The sequence below is a fragment of the Homo sapiens genome, chromosome 12 (genome assembly GCF_000001405.40).
Source record: "Homo sapiens chromosome 12, GRCh38.p14 Primary Assembly".
Classification (NCBI taxonomy): Eukaryota; Metazoa; Chordata; class Mammalia; order Primates; family Hominidae; genus Homo; species Homo sapiens.
The window spans coordinates 93,069,165-93,090,130 of record NC_000012.12 but is presented as its reverse complement, the minus strand read 5'-3'; the positions used below and the strand labels follow the sequence as shown (position 1 = coordinate 93,090,130).

Below are 20,966 nucleotides of genomic sequence, written 5' to 3'. Positions count from 1 at the left end.
GCTCTGCAGGTTGTACATGAAGCATAGCAGCTTTTGCTTCTGGGGAGGCCTCAGGAATCTTCCAATCATGGTGGAAGGCAAAGGGGAAGTGAGGCATTTCACATGGCGGAAGCAGGAGCAGGAGTTGGGGGAGTGCCACACACTTTTAAACAATGAGATCTCACAGGACCTCACTCACTGTGGTGAGGACAGTACCAAGGGGGAAAGACTCCCCATGATCCAATCACCTCCCACGAGGCCCCACCTTCAACACTGGAGATTACATTTCCACATGAGATTTGGAGGAGGACAGCATCCAAACTATATCAAAAACCACGGTAGAATCCTCCCACGTAGTATTATTCCCATAGAGCAATGCCACTGTAAATTGTAAGTGGTAAAATTCCTACAGTTAACTTCAAGAAAAATAAACAAGAACTAACATACTATGCATTTGGTTCTTTAATCACTTTATAAGAACTAACACATTCAATCCTCCTAACTACCCTATGAGGTGACCATGATTATTATTTTTATTTTATCATTGAGGAAACTAAGTTACAGAGAGGTGAAGTAATCTAAGAAAACATAGCCAGAAAATGGTAGGCCTGTATACAAACCCAAGTAGCAAGGCCCTGAAACCTCTTAGTCACTCAGTTATCAAGCCAGAATATAAAAAATATTTGGGATTCAAAATAGGTACTGAAATAAAGCCACATTTTCTTAGGAAACTCTTTTAACAAATTGAACAAATTAATAACGCCAATAAGAGTGTAGGGTAAATGTTCAGATTAATTAAGCATATAAGTAACTAATGTCTGTTATACATCATCATTTTATCTAGTCACTAGCCAAGTTTTATACTGCTTAGTTCCCAAGACTATAGCAGGTCCGGAAATTATATACTGTTGCATTTTTAAAAACACAATCTATGCATTGTATAGACATTCAGATCAGCATTTTTCTTATTAGTTTGACCTACTACAGTTTCTTTTACTTCATACGCTTGCCTTTATTATCACATAGTAATGATATCTTGGGATTATGAAGAATTGGCTACACAATACTAGACACCCTTTAAAAAGAAAGAAATTCTGTCATTTGCAACATCATAGATAAGCCTGGAGGACATTATGTTTAGTGAAATAAACCAAGCACAGAAAGACAAATACTCCATGATTTCACTTACCTGTGGAATCTAAAAAAGTGGAACTTACAGAAGTAGAGAATAGAATGATGATTACTCAAGGATGGGGGTACGGGGTGGGACAGGGAAAGAGGAGATGTTGGTCAAAGGGTACAAAGTTTGAGTTAGACAGGAGGAATAAATGTTAGTGCGCAGCATGGTGACCATAGTTAATAATAACTTACTACATATTTCAAAATTGCTAAGAGTAGATTTTAAATATTCTCACTAGGAAAAAAAAGGTAAGTAGGTGAGGTGCTGGATATGTTAATTAGCTTGATTTAATCATCCCTTGGTGTATCAAAATGTTACATTGTACCCCATAAATATGTATAATTATTATTTGTCAGTAAAACAATTTTCTTCTACATCGTTTGGATTATTTTATTTGTTTTAATGACGCATCAAAACATTAAGAGTGCTGCACTTTTTGTCTCTCTTTTAGAGATGGGAAAGTTGAGTGAAGCAGGTTCAGACTCCCTGGAGTGAAGGGGGCAAAACCAGGGCAGTCCCTCCTGCAGTCTTTAGAATGCTGCTGCGAGGTTCAGTGGAGAAAGCTGGGGTGGGGGCATTGAATGAGCACTGCCCTTGGAGTCAAACAGGCATCTGACCATGTTGCTTTCTGTTCCTGAGGATAAGACTCAACCACCGTCTAGAGATTCTGAAGTCAAACACTCAAATATACAAACACTCAAGAAGTTCCTCTGGGCTTTGTATGTTCAGAGACTGAAGAGATGTAGCATTCTCTTATAAGAAAATTTTACTAATTCAATTGAGAATATGCAGAGGGAATGAATAAAGACTCCTAGTCTCCAGAAATTATTGCATTTCCATATGACACACCATTTCATGAAACCTCTCTGCATTTATAAAAGTTGTTTTCTTCCTGAAGATGTGCAGCTTATGCAGAGCTAATTACTCCCAAGTCCTTGGGGAATGCAAATATGCCGACAACTAGCATCATGGCAAAGAAAAAGAGCTCTCAATGTTTTTTTTCCTTTTGTCCCCTTTTTTTTTCTTTCAGTAAGTGCAAATTCTACTATAACCTTAGTAACTTAGTAGTTCCTAAACTCCAGGAAAGCCGCAAGCCATTTACTTTGCTTATTATTTATGAAAAGCAATAAAAATTTGAGAGATATAAAAATTTCCTATTACATCTGTTTGGTCTTTCAAAATAAATTAAAATGGATAATAATAATATCTTATTTAGTCCCTGCTGTGTGGCAGATACTATAGAACCATGATGTCATTTACTCCTGACAACAGCCACAGAAAGTAGATATCATTCTCTTGAGAACTGTGACAACTGCCATCAACATGACATTGCTATTTGGACTTAGAACTCAGACCACCTGTGTCAATATAACTTAAGTTACTTGTTCTGAAAACTTTTCATAGAATAGATAAGACTGTAAGCCAACAAATAACTTCTCTGTTTGCATTAGGAAATTCCTGCTGATCAGCTTATCTGAGATAACAATCTGCTCCCTTGGGCAAATTGCTCACTCTCATCAAGCCATAGTTTACTCATCAACACTTGCTTTAAGATCCTCCCTTCGTCCACCTTGGGCTAAGGTTACATCATGATCTTAGCCCAATTCCAGTCAGTTCCCTTTTATTTATTTATTTTTTTTGAGATAGAATTTCGCTCTTGTTGCCCAGGCTGGAGTACAACGGCGCGATCTCGGCTCACTGCAACCTCTGCCTCCCAGGTTCAAGCAATTCTCCTGCCTCAGCCTCCCGAGTAGCTGGGATTACAGGCATGCACCACCACACCGGGCTAATTTTGTATTTTTAGTAGTGATGGGGTTTCTCTATGTTGGTCAGGTTGGTCTCGAACTTCCGACCTCAGTTGATTTGCCTGCCTTGGCCTCCCAAAGTGCTGGGATTACAGGCATGCACCATCACGCCCAGCTAACTTTGTATTTTTAGTAGTGATGGGGTTTCTCTATGTTGGTTAGGCTGGTCTTGAACTTCCGACCTCAGTTGATCTGCCTGCCTTGGCCTCCCAAAGTGCTGGGATTACAGGCATGAACCACCACGCCTGACCTTCAGTTCCCTTCTTTAAAGACTCTTGAGGTTACTTGAACCAAGATCTCAAAACTGTATAAATATCCATCCCTGACTTCTTTTTTCTGAGGTACCACTAAGACTTTGTCAAGATGGTGTTTTCCTTATTAAATTGTCTGACAGCATTTGAGGGAGTTTAACAATTCTTGTTTTACAAATGAGCAAAGAGAGGCCCAGAGTTTCAGGTATTTGTCCAAGTTCACTCCCTCAGTTAAGGGTTGGAGCCGGGATTCCAATCCAGAACTACCTGACCCCATCCCATGTTCCTGATCGCTCTGCTACTGTGGTCGTTCAGTTGGAATGAAAATCCAGTTTCTTTGGTTTCAACCATGGACATATTTGGCTTTTGAGGAGTAAAAGAAAATCCAAGCAATAGTTGTCTTAGTCTGTTCTTGCTGCTATAACAAAACATCTTAGATTGAATAATATATTAAGAACAGACTTTCTTTCTTACTGTTCTAGAGGCTGGGAAGTCCAAGAGCAATAAACCAGCAGCTGAGTCTGGTGAAGGCCTATTCCTCATGGGGGGTTTCTTGTGGTGTCCTCACATGGTGGAAGGGCAAAAAGGGCCAAATGAACTCTGTTAAGCCCTTTTATTTATTTTATTTCGTTTTCAAACAGGGTATTACTTTGTCACTCAGGCTGCAGTGCAGTGGCATGATCACATTTCACTGCAGCCTCAACCTCCCAGGCACAAGTGATCCTCCTAATTCAGCCTCCAGAGTAGCTGGGACTATAGGTGTGCACCACCATGCCTGGCTAATTTTTAAATATTTTGTAGAGATGGGGTCCCCCTATATTGCACAGGCTCTCAAGCCCTTGTATAAGAGCATTAATTCCATTCATGAGGGCAGAGCCTTCATAACCTAATTACCTCCTAAAAGTCCTGCCTCTTAATAAACCTGCACTGGGGATTGAATCCCAATGTGAACTTTGTAGGGAACACAAACATTCTAACCATAGCAATGGCCCAGTTGACAGTCCTGTGTAAAGCAGCTGCCATGTGACCTCGTATGTTTGTCTGTGGGAATCCAATACTACTGCTTCAGAATAAACTCTTACCAACATTCTCTAAGTGAAAGACATAGGTCAGGCAAGGGCCAGGAAAACCAAATCTATAATTGGTGTGACCTTTAAACTATCAGTATATTATTCAGCTGGTATATTAGTTTCCTAGAGCTGCTGTTAACAAATTACCTCAAAGTTGGTGGCTTAACACAACAGAAATTTATTCTCTCTAAGTTCTGAAGGCCACAAATTCAAAATCAAGGTCTTGCCAGGGCCACGTTCCCGCTGAAGGTTCTGAGGGAGAATCCATCCCATGCCTCTCTCCTGGATTCTGGTGGCTCCCAGCAATCCTTGGCATTCTGTGGTTTGGGACTTTATAACTCCAGCCTCTGCCCTGGTCTTCACATGGCTTTCTCTTTTTGTCTCTGTGTCTTCTTTTCTCTTTCTTGGAAGGACATTTCTCACTGGATTAAAGTCCCAGCTCAATCCAGGATGATCTCATCTTGAGACCCTTATCTTAATTACATCTACAAAGACTTGTATTCAAATAAGATCACATTCTGAGGTTTCAGGTGGACATAACTTTTGGGAGCCACAGTTCAACTCACTACAGCTAGTAAAGTTTGTTACTGACGCGGTATTAGCATCAACATTATTACATCTAAATAAAAATGCCAATGAAAAATAATATAAAGAATAACAATAATAGCTCATTTTTTTAAAATGTAGTCTTTCAAAATTTTTTTCTTTTTTTTTTTTGAGACGGAGTCTCACTCTGTTGCCCAGGCTGGAGTGCAGTGGTGCAATCTCCACTCACTGCAAGCTCTGCCTCCCGGGTTCCTGCTATTCTCCTGCCTCAGCCTCCCGAGTAGCTGGGACCACAGGCACCTGCCACCATGCCCGGCTAATTTTTCTTTTGTTGTCATATTTTTAGTAGAGATGGGGTTTCACTAGGTTAGCCAGGATGGTCTCGATCTCCTGACCTCGTGATCCACACACCTCGGCCTCCCAAAGTGCTGGGATTACAGGCGTGAGCCACTGCACCCGGCCTCAAAATTTTTTTATATAAAACCACTGCTTATGGGATATTACAGTGATCATATGATGTTTGATTACAGCAGTGCATATATGGAAATTTTAAATATCTTATTCATATCATTGATTCTATGTAAACACAATGGCTTTGTGAAAAGACCATTTTCTAGAGATGTATCAAACATTTATCTAGTGCATATGGTGTTCCAAGCACTGGGGGGATACCTAAATGATGACAGTACCGTTCTCCAGTTTGTAAAAAGAGAAAAGTGAGAAGGATGATGATGAAATGGTAGCTCGATGACCACCTCCAACTTAAAACCATCTATGAAAGAACATATTAAGGCTCAGAATATATGATTCCCATAGATGTTAGCAAGATTTTATTTATAATAACTCTACTGTGTTTTCTTCCTGTGTTACTCCCACACTGTAGTACATCACAGTAATTTCTGAACTGCATATTTTAACCACAGTTAACTAGAATTTTAAAAACTTTTTTGACCCAGTGGAAATACATTTTACACTTGACCCAGTATATGTATCACTGAAATAAGTTTCACAAATCAGTATTTGCTCTTAGAAGCATGATGAAGGCTGATATTTTCTACTTTGTTGTATTTCATTAGTAATTTAATTTAAAAATGTACTAATGGATAACCACAATTTATTAAGTAGCGTCAATCATTCTTTACCTTATCCACCCCAACACACATATATTAACAGGATTTCATAATGAGTAGCTTTCTTGCATTTCATACAGTTCATTTTAGGACATAATCTCATTTATATTACTTTGGTAGGAACAATATTTCAGGGGCTTTAAAGATACAGTTCAAGGCCAGGCATGGTGGTTCACGCCTGTAATCCTAGTAATTTGTGGATGCCAAGGGAGGAGAATCACTTGAGGCCAGGAGTTCTAGACCAGCCTGGGCAACATAGTGAGATTCCCATCTCTAAGAAAAATTAAAAAATTAGCCGGACATGGTGATGTGCACCTGTAGTCCTAACAACTGGGAAGGCTATGGCAGGAGGATGGCTTGAGCCCAGGAGTTCGAGGCTGCAGTGAGCTATGATGGCACCCCAGCCTGGGCAACAAAGTGAGATCTTGTCTCTTAAAAAAAGATAGAGTGTGGCTCTCGGCCTTAGCGCCATTTTTTTTGGAAACCTCTGTGCCATGAGAGCCAAGTGGAGGAAGAAGCGAATGCGCAGGCTGAAGCGCAAAAGAAGAAAGATGAGGCAGAGGTCCAAGTAAACCGCTAGCTTGTTGCACCGTGGAGGCCACAGGAGCAGAAACATGGAATGCCAGACGCTGGGGATGCTGGTACAAGTTGTGGGACTGCATGCTACTGTCTAGAGCTTGTGTCAATGGATCTAGAACTTCATCGCCCTCTGATCGCCGATCACCTCTGAGACCCACCTTGCTCATAAACAAAATGCCCATGTTGGTCCTCTGCCCTGGACCTGTGACATTCTGGACTATTTCTGTGTTTATTTGTGGCCGAGTGTAACAACCATATAATAAATCACCTTTTCCACTGTTTTAGCTGAAGAATTAAAAAAAAAAAAAAAAAAAAAGATAGAGTGTGGCTCACGCCTGTAATCCCAGCACTTTGGAAGGTGTAGGTGGGTGGATCACCTGAGGTCAGGAGTTCGAGACCAGCCTGGCCAAGATGATGAAACCCCATTTCTACTAAAAATACAAAAATTAGCCAGGTGTGGTTGTGTGCACCTGTAATCCCAGCTACTCTGGAGGTTGAGGCAGGAGAATCGCTTGAACCTGGGAGGCAGAGGTTGCAGTGAGCCAAGATCGCACCACTGCACTCCAGCCTGGGTGACAAGAGTGAAACTCCATCCCCTCCATGCCCACATTAAAAAAAAAAAATGGAGTTTAATAACTGGGAAGACCACATTAGATGATTTTACATTTGATTGCATATTGTTAGAACACATTTTTGAATATATTAATGCATTTAAAACATGAATAAATGATACTTTGCATGTGTTCCTTTTTCCCCACAGACCAATTTTTTTCAACTGCCCTACAGTAGCTTCCGCTTGCTGGTGCCTTTGGGCTGCCATGGCCCCAACCCTGGCTCTACCTGTGCATGATCTTATAGTTCTGTGGTTCTCCACTGGTTCAATCCCTCTGTTTCTATGATTCTGATTGGTTCAGCGTGGTCAGCTGCTTGTGTCCGCCCTAGTCAGCAGTTATCTGACTGATTGAGGTCCCGTAGCCTACATGGCTGCTTTCCATAGCTTTTCTTTTTTTTGTTTGTTTGTTTTTGAGACTGAGTCTCGCTCTGTCGCCCAGGCTGGAGTGCAGTGGCGCGATCTCGGCTCACTGCAAGCTCCGCCTCCCGGGTTCACGCCATTCTCCTGCCTCAGCCTCCCCAGATGCTGGGACTATAGGCGCCCGCCACTACGTCCAGCTAATTTTTTTTATATTTTTAGTAGAGACGGGGTTTCACCGTGTTAGCCAGGATGGTCTCGATCTCCTGACCTCGTGATGCGCCCGCCTCGGCCTCCCAAAGTGCTGGGATTACAGGCGTGAGCCACCGCGCCCGGCCTGCTTTCCATAGCTTTTCTAAGCGGGTAGATATCAGTCAGGTCCCAGAAGTTAATAATACACTGCAATTGGGAAAACTGGAGAAGATTTTAATAAGAAGTGATTTATAAAGATCTGGGCATAAGAAAACCACAAGAAACCACAAGGGATAGTAGTACAGTATCCTTGGGGATTAACTGCAGGGGACCATTATTACCCCTGGGCCAAAAGAGGCAGTTACCAGAACCTGGGGAGAGAGCCAAGTGGAGGGGCCTGCTGGACAGGACCTGCAACCTTTAATAAAGGTGTTACCAGCAGTGAATCCGACAGGCCTGCAGTAAACTTGATCCTTCCCTCCTCGAAGGAAAGAATTCACCCAAAGGGCATAAGGCAGTGAGAAACAAGTTTTAGAGCAGAATTAAAAGTTTATTAAAAAGTTTTAGAGCAGGAAGGAAAGAAAGGAAGCAAAGTACACTTGGAAGAGGGCCGAGCGGGCAACTTGAGAGATCCAAGTGCCCTATTTGATCCTTGACTTGGGGTTTTCTCCATTGGCGTGGTTCCTGGGTTTCTGTTTCTCCTCCCTTGATTCTTCCCTTGGGGTGGGCTATCCTCACGCACAGTGGCCTGCCAGCGCTTGGGAAGGATCACTGCACAGTGTGTTTACGGAAGTTGTGCGCATGTTCACTTGAGGCATTTTTCCCTTACAAGTTGAGCGTTCCTGGAGGAAGGTCATATACCAGTTAAACTCCACCATTTTGCATCTTAATTAATGCACATGCTTGAGCCTGCTCATCCAGCTCCTGAGATCTTATCTGGAAGTTGCTAATCACCAGCTTCAGGTGTTTTCTGTCTATTGTTAGAGTAGCTTTCCCTGGTGCCAGCTGACCCCAATTATTATTTTAGAGAGACAGTTTAACAACAGCCCTACCATCACCTGATGGTTGCCTGACATTTCTGGGCTAAGAGGCCCCTCTCCTTCGCTGCTTATGTCTGCCTAACTACCTACTCTAACAAAGGGACACAGCCAAGCCGGGGCTGGGGTCTGGGGTGGTGGTGGCAGGGAGGAGAATTTGGAGGAGCAAATACAAAGTATCTCAAAGCACAGGAAGTGTGGATAAGAAGGGAATGATTGGCATCTCAACCGCAGGGGTGAGTCCACAAAGCTTTCTGGAGGAAAGCTTTTCTTTTGTTTTTTTAACACTGCTGGAAATGACTTAGGAGGCCCTTATATGCCGGATACTGTTCTAAGTTTGTTATCTGCACTAATTCACTGAATACTAAAATAGCCCTCTGAGGAGGATAATATTGTCTTTTGTAGAGGTGGGGGGTGCTTTTCATTGAAGTCTAATATACATAAAGTGCACATATAAATGACAGTTCAATAATTTTCACAAAGGCAACACACTCAGGCAATCAGCCTGCAGATCAGGAAAGAAAACATGACCAGCCACCTAAGACTCCCTTTCCAGTCTCCACCACCCTCAGTGGTGTTGATATCCAACACCAACACTGAAACCGCCTTTGCAAAAATTATATCAGTAAGAAAAATTGTAACAGTGAGCTGGGCTACCCTCGCCCCACCCCCATCTTGCCTTTCCCTTAATTATTCCTGGGCTTTGGGGCTGAGCTGAGTTTGAGGGACATTTGGGTAAATTTAAATGATAATAGGCCTTCCCTCAAACTCAATTGCTTTTCTAAAGCTAAGGGGAGGCCTCCAGGCTAGGGGAAGGAGAAGAGCCTGAGTCTCTTGCTAAGGTATAGACATGAAGGATTGTTTAGTCATTATTCCAGAGGTTATAGGAGATGCAGCTTCCCCAGTGATTCCTGCAGATAACATCTCTGTTGTAGGTTGGCTTTTTGAGATATCTTTTCAGGTTTTTTTGCATGTCTGACACCCATGGCTTCACCTTGACCTGATGGCTCCACTTGGACCCTCAACCCCACTCCTGTGGCCCCACCCAGAAACAATTCAGTGCACAGGAGGACAGCGTTGACCCCCTATGATTTCATCTCTGCCCCAACCAATCAGCAGCAGGCCTAATCACCCCCATCACTTCCCCCGAACTGCCTTTGAAAAACTCTTAACCTAGGAGCTTTGGAAGAGAATTATTTCAGTACTAAATTGGTCCCCACGTGGCATGGCCGGCCTTGTGTCTATAAAACTCTTTCTTTAATATAATGCCATGGTTTTTCTTTGTGCGGTCACAGGAAGAACCCCTCAGGCAGTTACAACACTATCCTAAAATCCAACACCAATGAGGATTTTTGCCATTTTTTTGTACTTTATGTACTGAAGTCGCACAGCACTAATTCTTTTGTCTATGACTTCTTAGGTCAATTTTTTGTTTGTAGCAACAAACTTAATTTGAAAATTGTAAAATATATACAACACAAAATTTACCATTTTATCCATTTTGAAGTCTACAGTTCAGTGCCATTAAATGCATTCACAATGTCGTGTAGCCGTCACCAGTATCCACTGCCAGAACTTTCTCCACATCCCAAACAGAAACTCTATACTCATTAAACAATAACTCCATTCTCCCCCTCTTCCCCCCAGCCCCTGGTAACCACTATTCCGCTTTCTGTCTGTGGGAATTTGCCTATTCTAGGCACCTCATATAAGTGGAATCGTGCGGTATTGGCCCTTTTGTGTTTGGCTTATTTCATTAACATAATGCTTCCCACGTTCATGGTCATCCTCATTTCATAGGTGAGGAAACTGAGGCGCAGGAACATTAAGGAAGGAAGTGGTGAGCCAGGCAGTCTGGCTCCAGTGCCTGAGTACTTAAGAGCATCATTGTGCTGTTTATCAATGAGCCTTGTGTTCACAGAGTCAATGATGATAGTTTTTCAAAGCATGGGCTGGCTGGATGGCTCTAAGTGCTTCTCAGAGCCTACTAACCCAGAATAAAACAACTTGAAATCCACATTTTCTTTCCTGTGTGGCAAAAGGAAGAGTTTCCCTTTGTCTTCTTGTGTCTGGCTAAAAGAGCAAACTCTTTCCTCTAATTGCAGACTCTTACTTGATTGTTTCTGCAGTCCCTGCCATTCATCCATTTCTATGATGACTCTGCTCCCATCCCCAAGACCAGCTTCCTGGCACTCACTTCAGAGCCACCATTTGGCTGTCTCAGCACTCCCTATTGGGTAAAACTCATCATTCCACTGTGCACAACTCTGTACAATTTGCTCAAAATATTAGTTTTGTGCAGAGCCGCTTTTGACTTGGGAGCCAGAACAATCCATTTTGAAGCCAACGATGCCAGTCTGGCTATTGTTAGGAACGGGGACCCTGGTTAGCACACACCAACCTGCCTCATCCAAAATGAATTCAGGGGCCAGCAGAGATCGAGTCCAAGCTCTTCCCTGACTTTGGGCAGTCAAGCCACAAAGGGCTGGTGCATATTTACCAACAGTCCGCACATGTCTGACTTGTCTTCGCCAAAATCACTGAATTCCAGCATCTCGGAATGCTGGGTGCCAAGAAAAGGCAGGTAGCCATAGTTGTCTTGGATGGCATGACTCAGCAGCAATGGTGCTCTTCAGCAATGAGGTACTGACTTTTAAACACAGGAATAACGTGCCAACACTAAGCTACAAGCGAATTTTTTATATTGGGAATTTGCAAACATAAGGCCCTTTTTGTACCTATCAGACAGTTAAACAAAATTTGCGATACTCTGCTAACAGATTCTCTTTCTTTCAGCGATACAATACATTGCATTACCTTTCTGGTCCCAATTGTCATCAAAGACAAGAAACAATCTAACCAAAATGCTGGCTCCTCCTCCTCTACTGGAGCTTTAATTATTAGTGTTTTGCAGCTCAGTCCTAGCTACATTTTCCTCCTGTGTGATCTTACTCATTTAAATGCCATTTGTACTTGTCAGAACCCACTTGGTTACAAGTAGCAGAAACTAACTCAACTCTGAAGCAAAAATGGGAATTCATTGATTCATGTAATTGTGATGTTAGCTCCAGGACTGACAGCCTCATGGGCCTCAATGCTGCATCAGCACGTGGCCTCTCTCCCTCTGTTACTTGGGTCTTTTTTCCTGTTGTGTTGTGTTGGTCTCATTCTTATTAGGCTACAGTCCCAAGGTGGTTTAAAAAAAAAAAAAAAGGCTCTGGTAGCTCCAAGCTTGCACTGTACCAGTTTAGCAATTCTTCTGTAAAGAACAACTTTTCCTTCCTTATTGTTCCACTAAAAGTCCTTTGGCTAATTCTTATTGAAATGATCTGGGTTATCTGCATAGCCCTGAATAATCACTACGACTGGGTAAATGGCTTGTGCTGACTGTTCAGGCCTGAGACTTCTCCTTACTTCTTGGCTAGAGGAGAATCTGGAACTTTGATTAACAGCCTGTCATGATTCTTAGCCAAGAAGGAGGGATATTTCCCCGAAAGAAAATCAGGATCCTTTTAGCAAAAGATATGGCATATTTTCCCACACAGAACTATACTATGTATATGCTGAAGATTTCCAAATTTCTTTCTTTCTGGTCCAGACCTCACCCCTGAACTATAGGTTCATATATCAAACAGCTTCCTTGACTCGTCTTATGGGCATCTTAATCTCACTGATATGGTTTGGCTCTGTTGTCCCCACACAAATCTCATCTTGAATTGTACTCCCATAATTCCCACATGTTGTGGGAGGGACCCAGTGGGAGATAATTTGATCATGGGGGTGGTTTCCCCCATACTGTTCTCATGGTAGTGAATAAGTCTCACGAGATCTGATGGTTTTATCAGGGGTTTCCGCTTTTACATCTTCCCCATTTTCTCTTGCCGCCACCACGCAAGAAGTGCATTTCACCTCCCACCATGATTCTGAGGCCTCCCCAGCCATGTGGAACTGTAAGTCCAATTAAACCTCTTTTTCTTCCCAGCCTCGGATATGTCTTTATCAGCAGCGTGAAAACAGACTAATACACTTACCCTGTCCAAAATGTATCTCTTGATTATGAGCATCACACCTCTACCCTATCCTATCCCCAACCTGTACTTTCTTTGCTTACAAGCAAGAAGAACTGGCACTGGCTAACTTAGGCAGGCAGAATGTGCTGGAAGGCTTTGGGACTCGCAGAATTGATGGCAGGCTGGAGTCCTGGACTTGGAACTAGGAAGCACAGCAAATGCCTTGCAAAAGAAAAAACTTGTTAGGAGCTCCTGGAGGGACTGAATTTTGTCCTTCTTCAGATTCGCATTCCAGGAAAGGATTACCTGATTGGACTATCTCAATCATGTATGGCCTCTCGGCTTGACTATAACTCATAAGAAAGAGGTGTTCCCGCCGGGCGCAGTGGCTCATGCCTGTAATCCCAGCACTTTGGGAGGCCGAGGTGGGCGGATCACCTGAGGTCAGGAGTTCAAGACCAGCCTGGCCAACATGGTGAAACCCCGTCTCTTTAAAAATACAAAAAAATTAGCCAGATGTGGTGGCGGGCGCCTGTAATCCCAGCTACTTGGGAGGCTAAGGCAGGAGAATTGCTTGAATCCGGGAGGCAGAGTTTGCAGTGAGCCGAGATTGCACCATTGTACTCCAGCCTGGGCGACAGAGCGAAACTCAGCTTCAAAAAAAAAAAAAAAAGGAGGTGGTGTTCCCTAACAAGAAATGGGGGTGCTGTTAGGGAAATGGATGCTAGACATTCAAATACTCAACACATATCCCCTCTACACCCTGTTCTTCCCCCAACTCACTAGATGTCTTCTCCACTTGACACATGGCTCAAGTAAAAAACCTAGCAGTGAGCCTGAGTTCCTCCCCTCCCCTCACCTCCACATCCAAGGTGTCAGCAAACCCCTACAGCTCTGCTTCAAAAAGGTATCCTAACAGTGTCTATTTCTGTCTGTTTCACCTCTACCTCCCTCATCCACACCATGACTTTCTCTCAGCTGGAATTCCATAATGGCCTCCATCTGGTTTCTCTGCCTCCCTTTTTGCTCCATGCAGCAGCTAGGGTGATCATCTCAACAATACAAAACAAGTCCTGTCACCTCTGCTTAAAGCCCTTCATTGATATCTTATTGATCTTGCAATAACATCTAATCACAAGATGGTCCTATGACAAAGTGGTTATGAACCGAGACTCTGAAGCCAAATTGCCTGGGTTCAAATCTACGTTCCACCCCTTAACAACTAGAGCTCCTTGGAAAAGTTATGTAGCCTCTCTGGGCCTCAGTGCCCTCATCTGAAGAGTGGGAATAATAATAGTATTTAATTATAGGGTTGCATAATGATTGAATAACTAACCCATAAAAATTACTTGGAATAGCATCTGACACAAAGTAAGTGCTAAATAAACATTAGCTATTATCATATAAAGACCCATTTGATCTGGTGCCTGTCCTCTCTCTGACTACATCTCCCTCTACTCTCCATTCTTTGTTTCCATGGTCCCACCAGACTGACACCCTGATTTTCTTAGAACATTCCAATTCTTTCTACCTCAACACCTTTACATTGCTCTTCTGTATGCCCACATGTTCTTCTACCAGATTTCACATGGAGCTTAAATACCACCTTTTCCAGACAGGCTTCACAGTATCTAAAGTCGCTCTTCCTCCCTGCCTTTATTACTCTGTCCCATCACCCTGTTCATAGACTTCAGTGTGCTTATAACATTGAAATGATCCAATTTATTGCTTTTCTATTTATTGTCTGTTTTCTTCTCGAGAATGTGAGTTCCATGAGAGGAGAAAGCTTGGCAGTCTTGTTCACAGCTCTTAAAAATATGCTTGGCACCTAATAGGCACTCAATAAATGCTTGTTGAATGAATTAATGAATTCCGGATGACTGAAGGATGAAATGTTTGCTAAATCAACAGGATCAATCTTGTCATTGAACCACATACATTTCTGCTTGAAGAGTTCTAGCAACAGTGTGTTTCGAGCTATCACCATTATAAGAATAACTGGGGTGGTAACTTGAAGGGGTGGGTTGCCCCTCCACACCTGTGGGTGTTTCTCGTAAGGTGGAACGAGAGACTTGGAAAAGAAAAAGACACAGAGACAAAGTATAGAGAAAGAAATAAGGGGACCCGGGGAACCAGCATTCAGCATATGGAGGATCCCGCCAGCCTCTGAGTTCCCTTAGTATTTATTCATCATTCGTGGGTGTTTCTCCGAGAGGGGGATGTGTCAGGGTCACAAGACAATAGTGGGGAAAGGGTCAGCAGACAAACACGTGAACAAAGGTCTTTGCATCATAGACAAGGTAAAGAATCAAGTGCTGTGCTTTTAGATATGCATACACATAAACATCTCAATGCTTTACAAAGCAGTATTGCTGCCCGCATGTCCCACCTCCAGCCCGAAGGCGGTTTTTCCCTATCTCAGTAGATGGAACGTACAATCGGGTTTTATACCGAGACATTCCATTGCCCAGGGACGGGCAGGAGACAGATGCCTTCCTCTTGTCTCAACTGCAAGAGGCATGCCTTCCTCTTATACTAATCCTCCTCAGCACAGACCCTTTACGGGTGTCAGGCTGGGGGACGGTCAGGTCTTTCCCTCCCACGAGGCCATATTTCAGACTATCACATGGGGAGAAACCTTGGACAATACCTGGCTTTCCTAGGCAGAGGACCCTGCGGCCTTCCGCAGTGTTTGTGTCCCTGGGTACTTGAGATTAGGGAGTGGTGATGACTCTTAAGGAGCATGCTGCCTTCAAGCATCTGTTTAACAAAGCACATCTTGCACCGCCCTTAATCCAGTTAACCCTGAGTTGACACAGCACATGTTTCAGAGAGCAGGGGGTTGGGGGTAAGGTCATAGATTAACAGAATCTCAAGACAGAAGAATTTTTCTTAGTACAGAACAAAATGGAGTCTCCTATGTCTACTTCTTTCTATACAGACACAGTAGCAATCTGATCTCTCTTGCTTTTCCCCACAGTAACTCCCAGACACAAATTCTTTCCTGGATATAATTCTGCTGGTTTTGGGTTTCAGTGGGCTTCTACTTTTGCTGTTCTGTGACTGAGGCAGCTGTAGGACTGGGGAAGTGCGATGGACAGGGAGTCAGGAATCCTGGCTTCCCGTAGGGGATCTGATATTCAGTAGCTTGTAACTGTGAGAAGTCCTCATTTCTGTGAGCCTCAGTTTCCTTGTCTGTAATGTTGGGGATGAAATATAATGGCTTTCAAGGATATGGAGAAATTAGAACTCTTGTGCATTACTGGTGGGAGTGAAAAACGGTGCCGCCACTGTGGAAGACATTAGGGAGGTTCCTAAAAAATTTAAAAATAGAATTAGCATATAATCCAGTAATTCCGTCTCCAGGTATACACCCAAAAGAATTGAAAGGAGGGACTTGAACAGAAATTTGGACATCCATGTTTATAACGGCATTATTCACAAAATCCAAAAGGATAACCCAAATATTTATTAAAGAATAAATGGATAAACAAAATACATACTTACATGTATGTACACACACACACAATGGAATATATTCAACCTTAAAAAGGGAAAAAAATTCTGACATAAACTACAATATAGGCAAACCTCAAAAACATGCTAAGTGAAATAGGCCAGACACAAAAGGACAAATATTATGACTGCCCTTATCTGAGGTACAATTTGACTTTAGAGTAGCTAAATAAAGAAAGAAAGCAAAATAATGGTTACCAGGGGCTGGGAGGAAAGAGGGAATGGGGAGTTATTGTTTAATGGGTGTGAGGTTTCAGTGGCTGATGATGGAAGGGTTTTAGAGAGATGGATGATAGTGATGGTTGGGGGATGATGGAAGGGTTTTAGAGACGGATGGTGGTGACAGTTGGGGGATGATGGAAGGGTTTTAGAGACGGATGGTGGTGACAGTTGGGGGATGATGGAAGGGTTTTAGAGATGGATGGTGGTGATGGTTGTACAACAAGTAGATATACTGAATGCCACTGAACTGTAAATTCCAAACGGTTAAAATGGTACATTTTATGTTATGGATATTTTACCACAATCGAAATATAATAATGCCCTTTTCTTGAGGTAGTTTCAAACACTAAGTGAGCTAATGTATGTCATCACCTACCATAGTTGGTATTCATAGTTAAATTGGTGTGAAACTGTAAAAAGTGACTGTAGGCAGTGGTAAATAAGGAGAATCTTCTAATCTTGAAATATTTATCATCAGAGACATTATATGCACATAAGATGTAGTCAAAAGCATCCTGGAAAAAAAGCAGTGATGGATGAAATGTGTGCCTGCCCGCCTTTACCAATATTTCATTCTACTTTAGCTTAACCCAGGGCAAGTGGAGGGAAGTCCTTCTCTGCAAATAAATGGATTGTTATCACTGTTTATTCTAAAGCAGGCTAACATATTTGGAGGCAAACTCAGTTTAAGAGTGGTGACAAAATGCCAGAGTCCCCCACACTCAGCAGCAGAAGCCTTCACCATTGTCTCCCATGGGTGATGGTGGACACAGGGTCAGGACTGGACTCCTCTTGACTTTTCTCTGGGAATGTAGCTCTGCCCCGTACTCTTCTGTTATTCCTTGGCTCAGTAAGGAAACATCACACTCACCTAGCCCTTGAAGTTTAAGAAACCAATTCTTCACTCCAATATGTGAAGTCTCGGGGTGTGAAGAGTTCACAGTTACATGATAATAGGGACTGTGAAGTTAGAGACCTGACACTTTACCCTCCAAGGTTTTCTTGACTCAGAGCCTCTCTCAGTTTCCCTACCAGCTTGACCTTTCTTGACCCCATTCTCCTGGTTCTTGAGAAAACCACATTCTATCTGGCAGGTTCTAGCCCATGTCCTGGCTTAGAAAGCACTGCTCTTTGGTCAGCCTCCTGTGTACTGTTCAGAGCTGATTGCTCTGCCTCTTGGGCTCTTCCCAACGGGTCTAGTGTTTATATGTCCAACATTAACCCTTCAACGTCTCTCCTGCAGCACCCCGTGCCTTTATCATTTAAATAACTTCAGGTCTGCACACCCTCCCAGCCCTGGCTTTTCCTCTCACAGCACCCCTAATTACTTCTTTTGCTTGTTAGTTTGGGGATCAATTTCTCTGCCTTCTGGTTCATTTTTGCTGTTAACTTCTGTAAGGTAGTTGCTCTTGCAAGTTATAATGGATGCACAAAGAGAAGGGGAAGGACCTACCATGCGCAGTGGGTCATGCCTGTAATCCCAGCACTTTGGGAGACAGAGGCGGGTGGATCACCTGAGGCCAGGAGTTCAAGACCAGCCTGGCCAAAATGGCGAAACCCCGTCTCTACTAAAAATACAAAAATTAGCCAGGCGTGGTGGCACATGCCTGTAATCCCAGCTACTCGGGAGGCTGAGGCAGGAGAATCACTTCAACCTGGGAGGCGGAGGTTGCAGTGAGCCGAGATCGTGCCACTGCACTCCAGCCTGGGTGACAGAGTGAGACTCCATCTCAACCAAAAAAAAAAAAAAAAGAGAGAGAGAAGGGAAAGAACCCTAGTCATTCATGAATATAACCCATATGAGACAGAAGCCTCTCATGTCCCCATCTCAGGCTGTGTGAACACAGGCAAGAGAGCATCACTGGGTAAGAGCACAGGCGCTGGGGGTATCTATCACTCATAAACTGGGTAACCTCGGGTGTATTTCATAATCTCTCTGTGTCTCAGTTTTCCTGTCTGAAAGTGGGAATAATAGTAATGGTACCCATCTCGTGGGGCTCTTGTGAGGACTGAGTTAATATATTAAAAGTATGTAGAATAGGCAGGGCGCAGTGGCTCACGCCTGTAATCCCAGCACTTTGGGAGGCCAAGGCGGGCAGATAGCCCGAGGTCAGGAGTTTGAGACTAGTCTGGCCAACATGGTGAAACCTCATCTCTACTAAAAATATAAAAATTATCCGGGCGTGGTGGCAGGTGCCTGTAATCCCAGCTACTCGGGAGGCTGAGGCAGGAGAATTGCTTGAACCCGGGAGCCGGAGGTTGCAGTGAGCCGAGATCACACCATTGTACTCCAGCCTGGGCGACAAGAGTGAGACTTTGCCTAAAAAAACAAAACAAAACAAAAAAGTATGTAGAATGGAACTGGCATGTAGAAAGTTCTCAATAAATGATGGTTTCATTAAAAGTTTATGTAAATCTGTCTCTAATTTTCTTTTGAGAGAGTACCAGTGAAAGGGTAGGGTACTCATTCACTTACATAGCACAAAACCGCTTGTATTGGGACTTTTTTGGTTGCAAATGACAGAAACCCAGTTTAAGCCATCTTAAGAAAAAAAAAGTAGGAAGGAAAAGGGAGTCAATGGCTTCTGTCACTGGGGAAGATACTAGAGTTGCTGAAGGAAAAGTTTTAGGAATCATTGCTACAAAAACTGGGAAGAGACTCACTCCAGCTGGATTTTCTCTCTCCCATCTGCCTCTGTCTCTACTGCTTGTGTCTTGACAAAATTCTCTCCTATTGCAGACGGCCTAGACTTTTCTACATAGCAAGGAACATGTGTGCTGGCCAACCTAGCATAGCCGTGTCAGCAGAAGAAATGTTTCATCTATATGTAGATCAAATATGCCATGGCTTATCTGAACTAACACAGCATATAGATGAAACACATCCAACAACATAGTGTATTTACGGGGCATGGCAGGGGGAGACAGGGGGTCCAGGAAGGCGACTCTGAGGGTTTAGTGTGCCAGATGTTGATTAAAGAGTGTTCTTTCATTAAAAACCTGTAGAAAAGAGTAAACGGAAGCAGCACTGGGCAAAAGAGAAGTTGATCTGTAAATCAGGCCAGATGCTTTAAACCTTGGTCAAGACTACAGAAGCCCTGGTGCTAAAATGCCGTGTTAGAGATGCTTTACATTGAACCACAATGTTGGACATGGAGCCTCACATTGGTTGATCCCCAGATGTGGGCTTTTCTCAAAAGGGCATAACCTTAAATAAAACCATTCTCTTGTTCTTCAGGGAGGCAGCCCCTGAAGGGACTCTTTGCTGACAGCACTACCTCAGCTGTGGCAATAAGTCCTTGATTGAAATGGAATCTGGGTGGCAGTCACAGTGTCTATCATTGAGTAGAAATTAATTTCTTGCTCATCTAACAGTCCTGGCAGGTGTCCAGCTAGGCAAGTAGGCTCTCTTCCATGAAGTCATTCAAGGACCCAGGTTCAAATGTGGCTTCACCAAAACATAAGACCTCACTGCCATGTGCATCTTGCTGGCAGAGGATGAAGACACTTGGAGGATCACACATAGGAGGATTTTATAGGCTGATTCTGAAAGGGGCCCATACTATTTCTATTCATATTTCATTGACATGGCAATGCTGAACTGCAAGGGAGGCCCTGTGCTCAGGAAGAAGAGGAAATGGATTTGAGTGAACAGCTATCAGTCTCCACCACAGATGCTTTTACTCCTCCTCTCTCACCCCCCGGCTTCCAATCCCAGACCTCCTCACTGTATGCAACCTCCTGGATAGTGGTTGCTTTTCTCAAGAGCAGGAGCTTACTGGTGCTAAAATGACTTGTTAGAGATGTTTCGCATTGAACTGCAATAGCTGGACATGTAGTCTCATATTGGTGATTCACTCCTCATCCACTCCCAAATAGTGATGACTATGATTCTCTCATGACCCAGTCATGTCCCCCCAATTCCCTGGTTTGCTTTTCACTGTGAACACTCTGCCTTCTTCATAGCAGGATGTATCCCTTGATAACGCTTCTCCCATAAGCCTCCTCTCCTTAGAAGCTTTCCAGTTGAGCAGATTCCTGCTATTCTCCTCTTCTCTCTTCCTCTCTCAAGTTAAGACATGGAACTCAAGCAGACATATGTATACCCTGTCCCCAGATCCTGAAGCTTTCCTTCCTCCTGACTGTGCTTAAGACATGAAACTGCAATGGGCTCCTCCTTATTTTTAGTTTTTATATTTGGTGTGTTTTCTCTCAGCATATTGTTCAACTGCTTTCTACATCTGGTTTTAAGGATCTAAGTGGCAGAAAATTTGAGAAGTCTTTGCACAGGACTTAAAAAGTAGTATGTATGTATTTAGGCATTGAGTAAGTCCCTCCCTCCCTTTTTCCCTACCTTTCTTCCTCTCTCCTCCCTGTAGCAGAGATAGTTAGCTAACTACCAAAGATTCATGCTCCCTTTCCATCGTGTAGAGTTGTTGCTCATCCAGGCCCTCCCACCCGCCTTCCTCGCCACACCCC

The 20,966-nt window shown here is 43.3% G+C and overlaps 1 long non-coding RNA gene and 1 pseudogene across 1 annotated transcript in view, besides 1 other annotated feature; both read left to right on the top strand.

Annotated features, from left to right (window-relative positions):
• Window positions 1-20,966, top strand: part of LOC643339 (uncharacterized) — a 373,979-nt gene that overhangs the window by 287,606 nt on the left and 65,407 nt on the right. The window lies entirely within an intron of this gene.
• RPL41P5 (ribosomal protein L41 pseudogene 5) lies at window positions 6,415-6,838 on the top strand (annotated as a pseudogene).
• Window positions 15,046-15,966: an enhancer, noted in NCBI's record as "NANOG-H3K27ac hESC enhancer chr12:93467941-93468861 (GRCh37/hg19 assembly coordinates)". NCBI's record gives its function as "activates a minimal SCP1, AML or CMV promoter by ChIP-STARR-seq in naive H9 embryonic stem cells {active_cell/tissue: H9 hESC(naive)}" and the evidence as "EXISTENCE:reporter gene assay evidence [ECO:0000049][PMID:30033119]".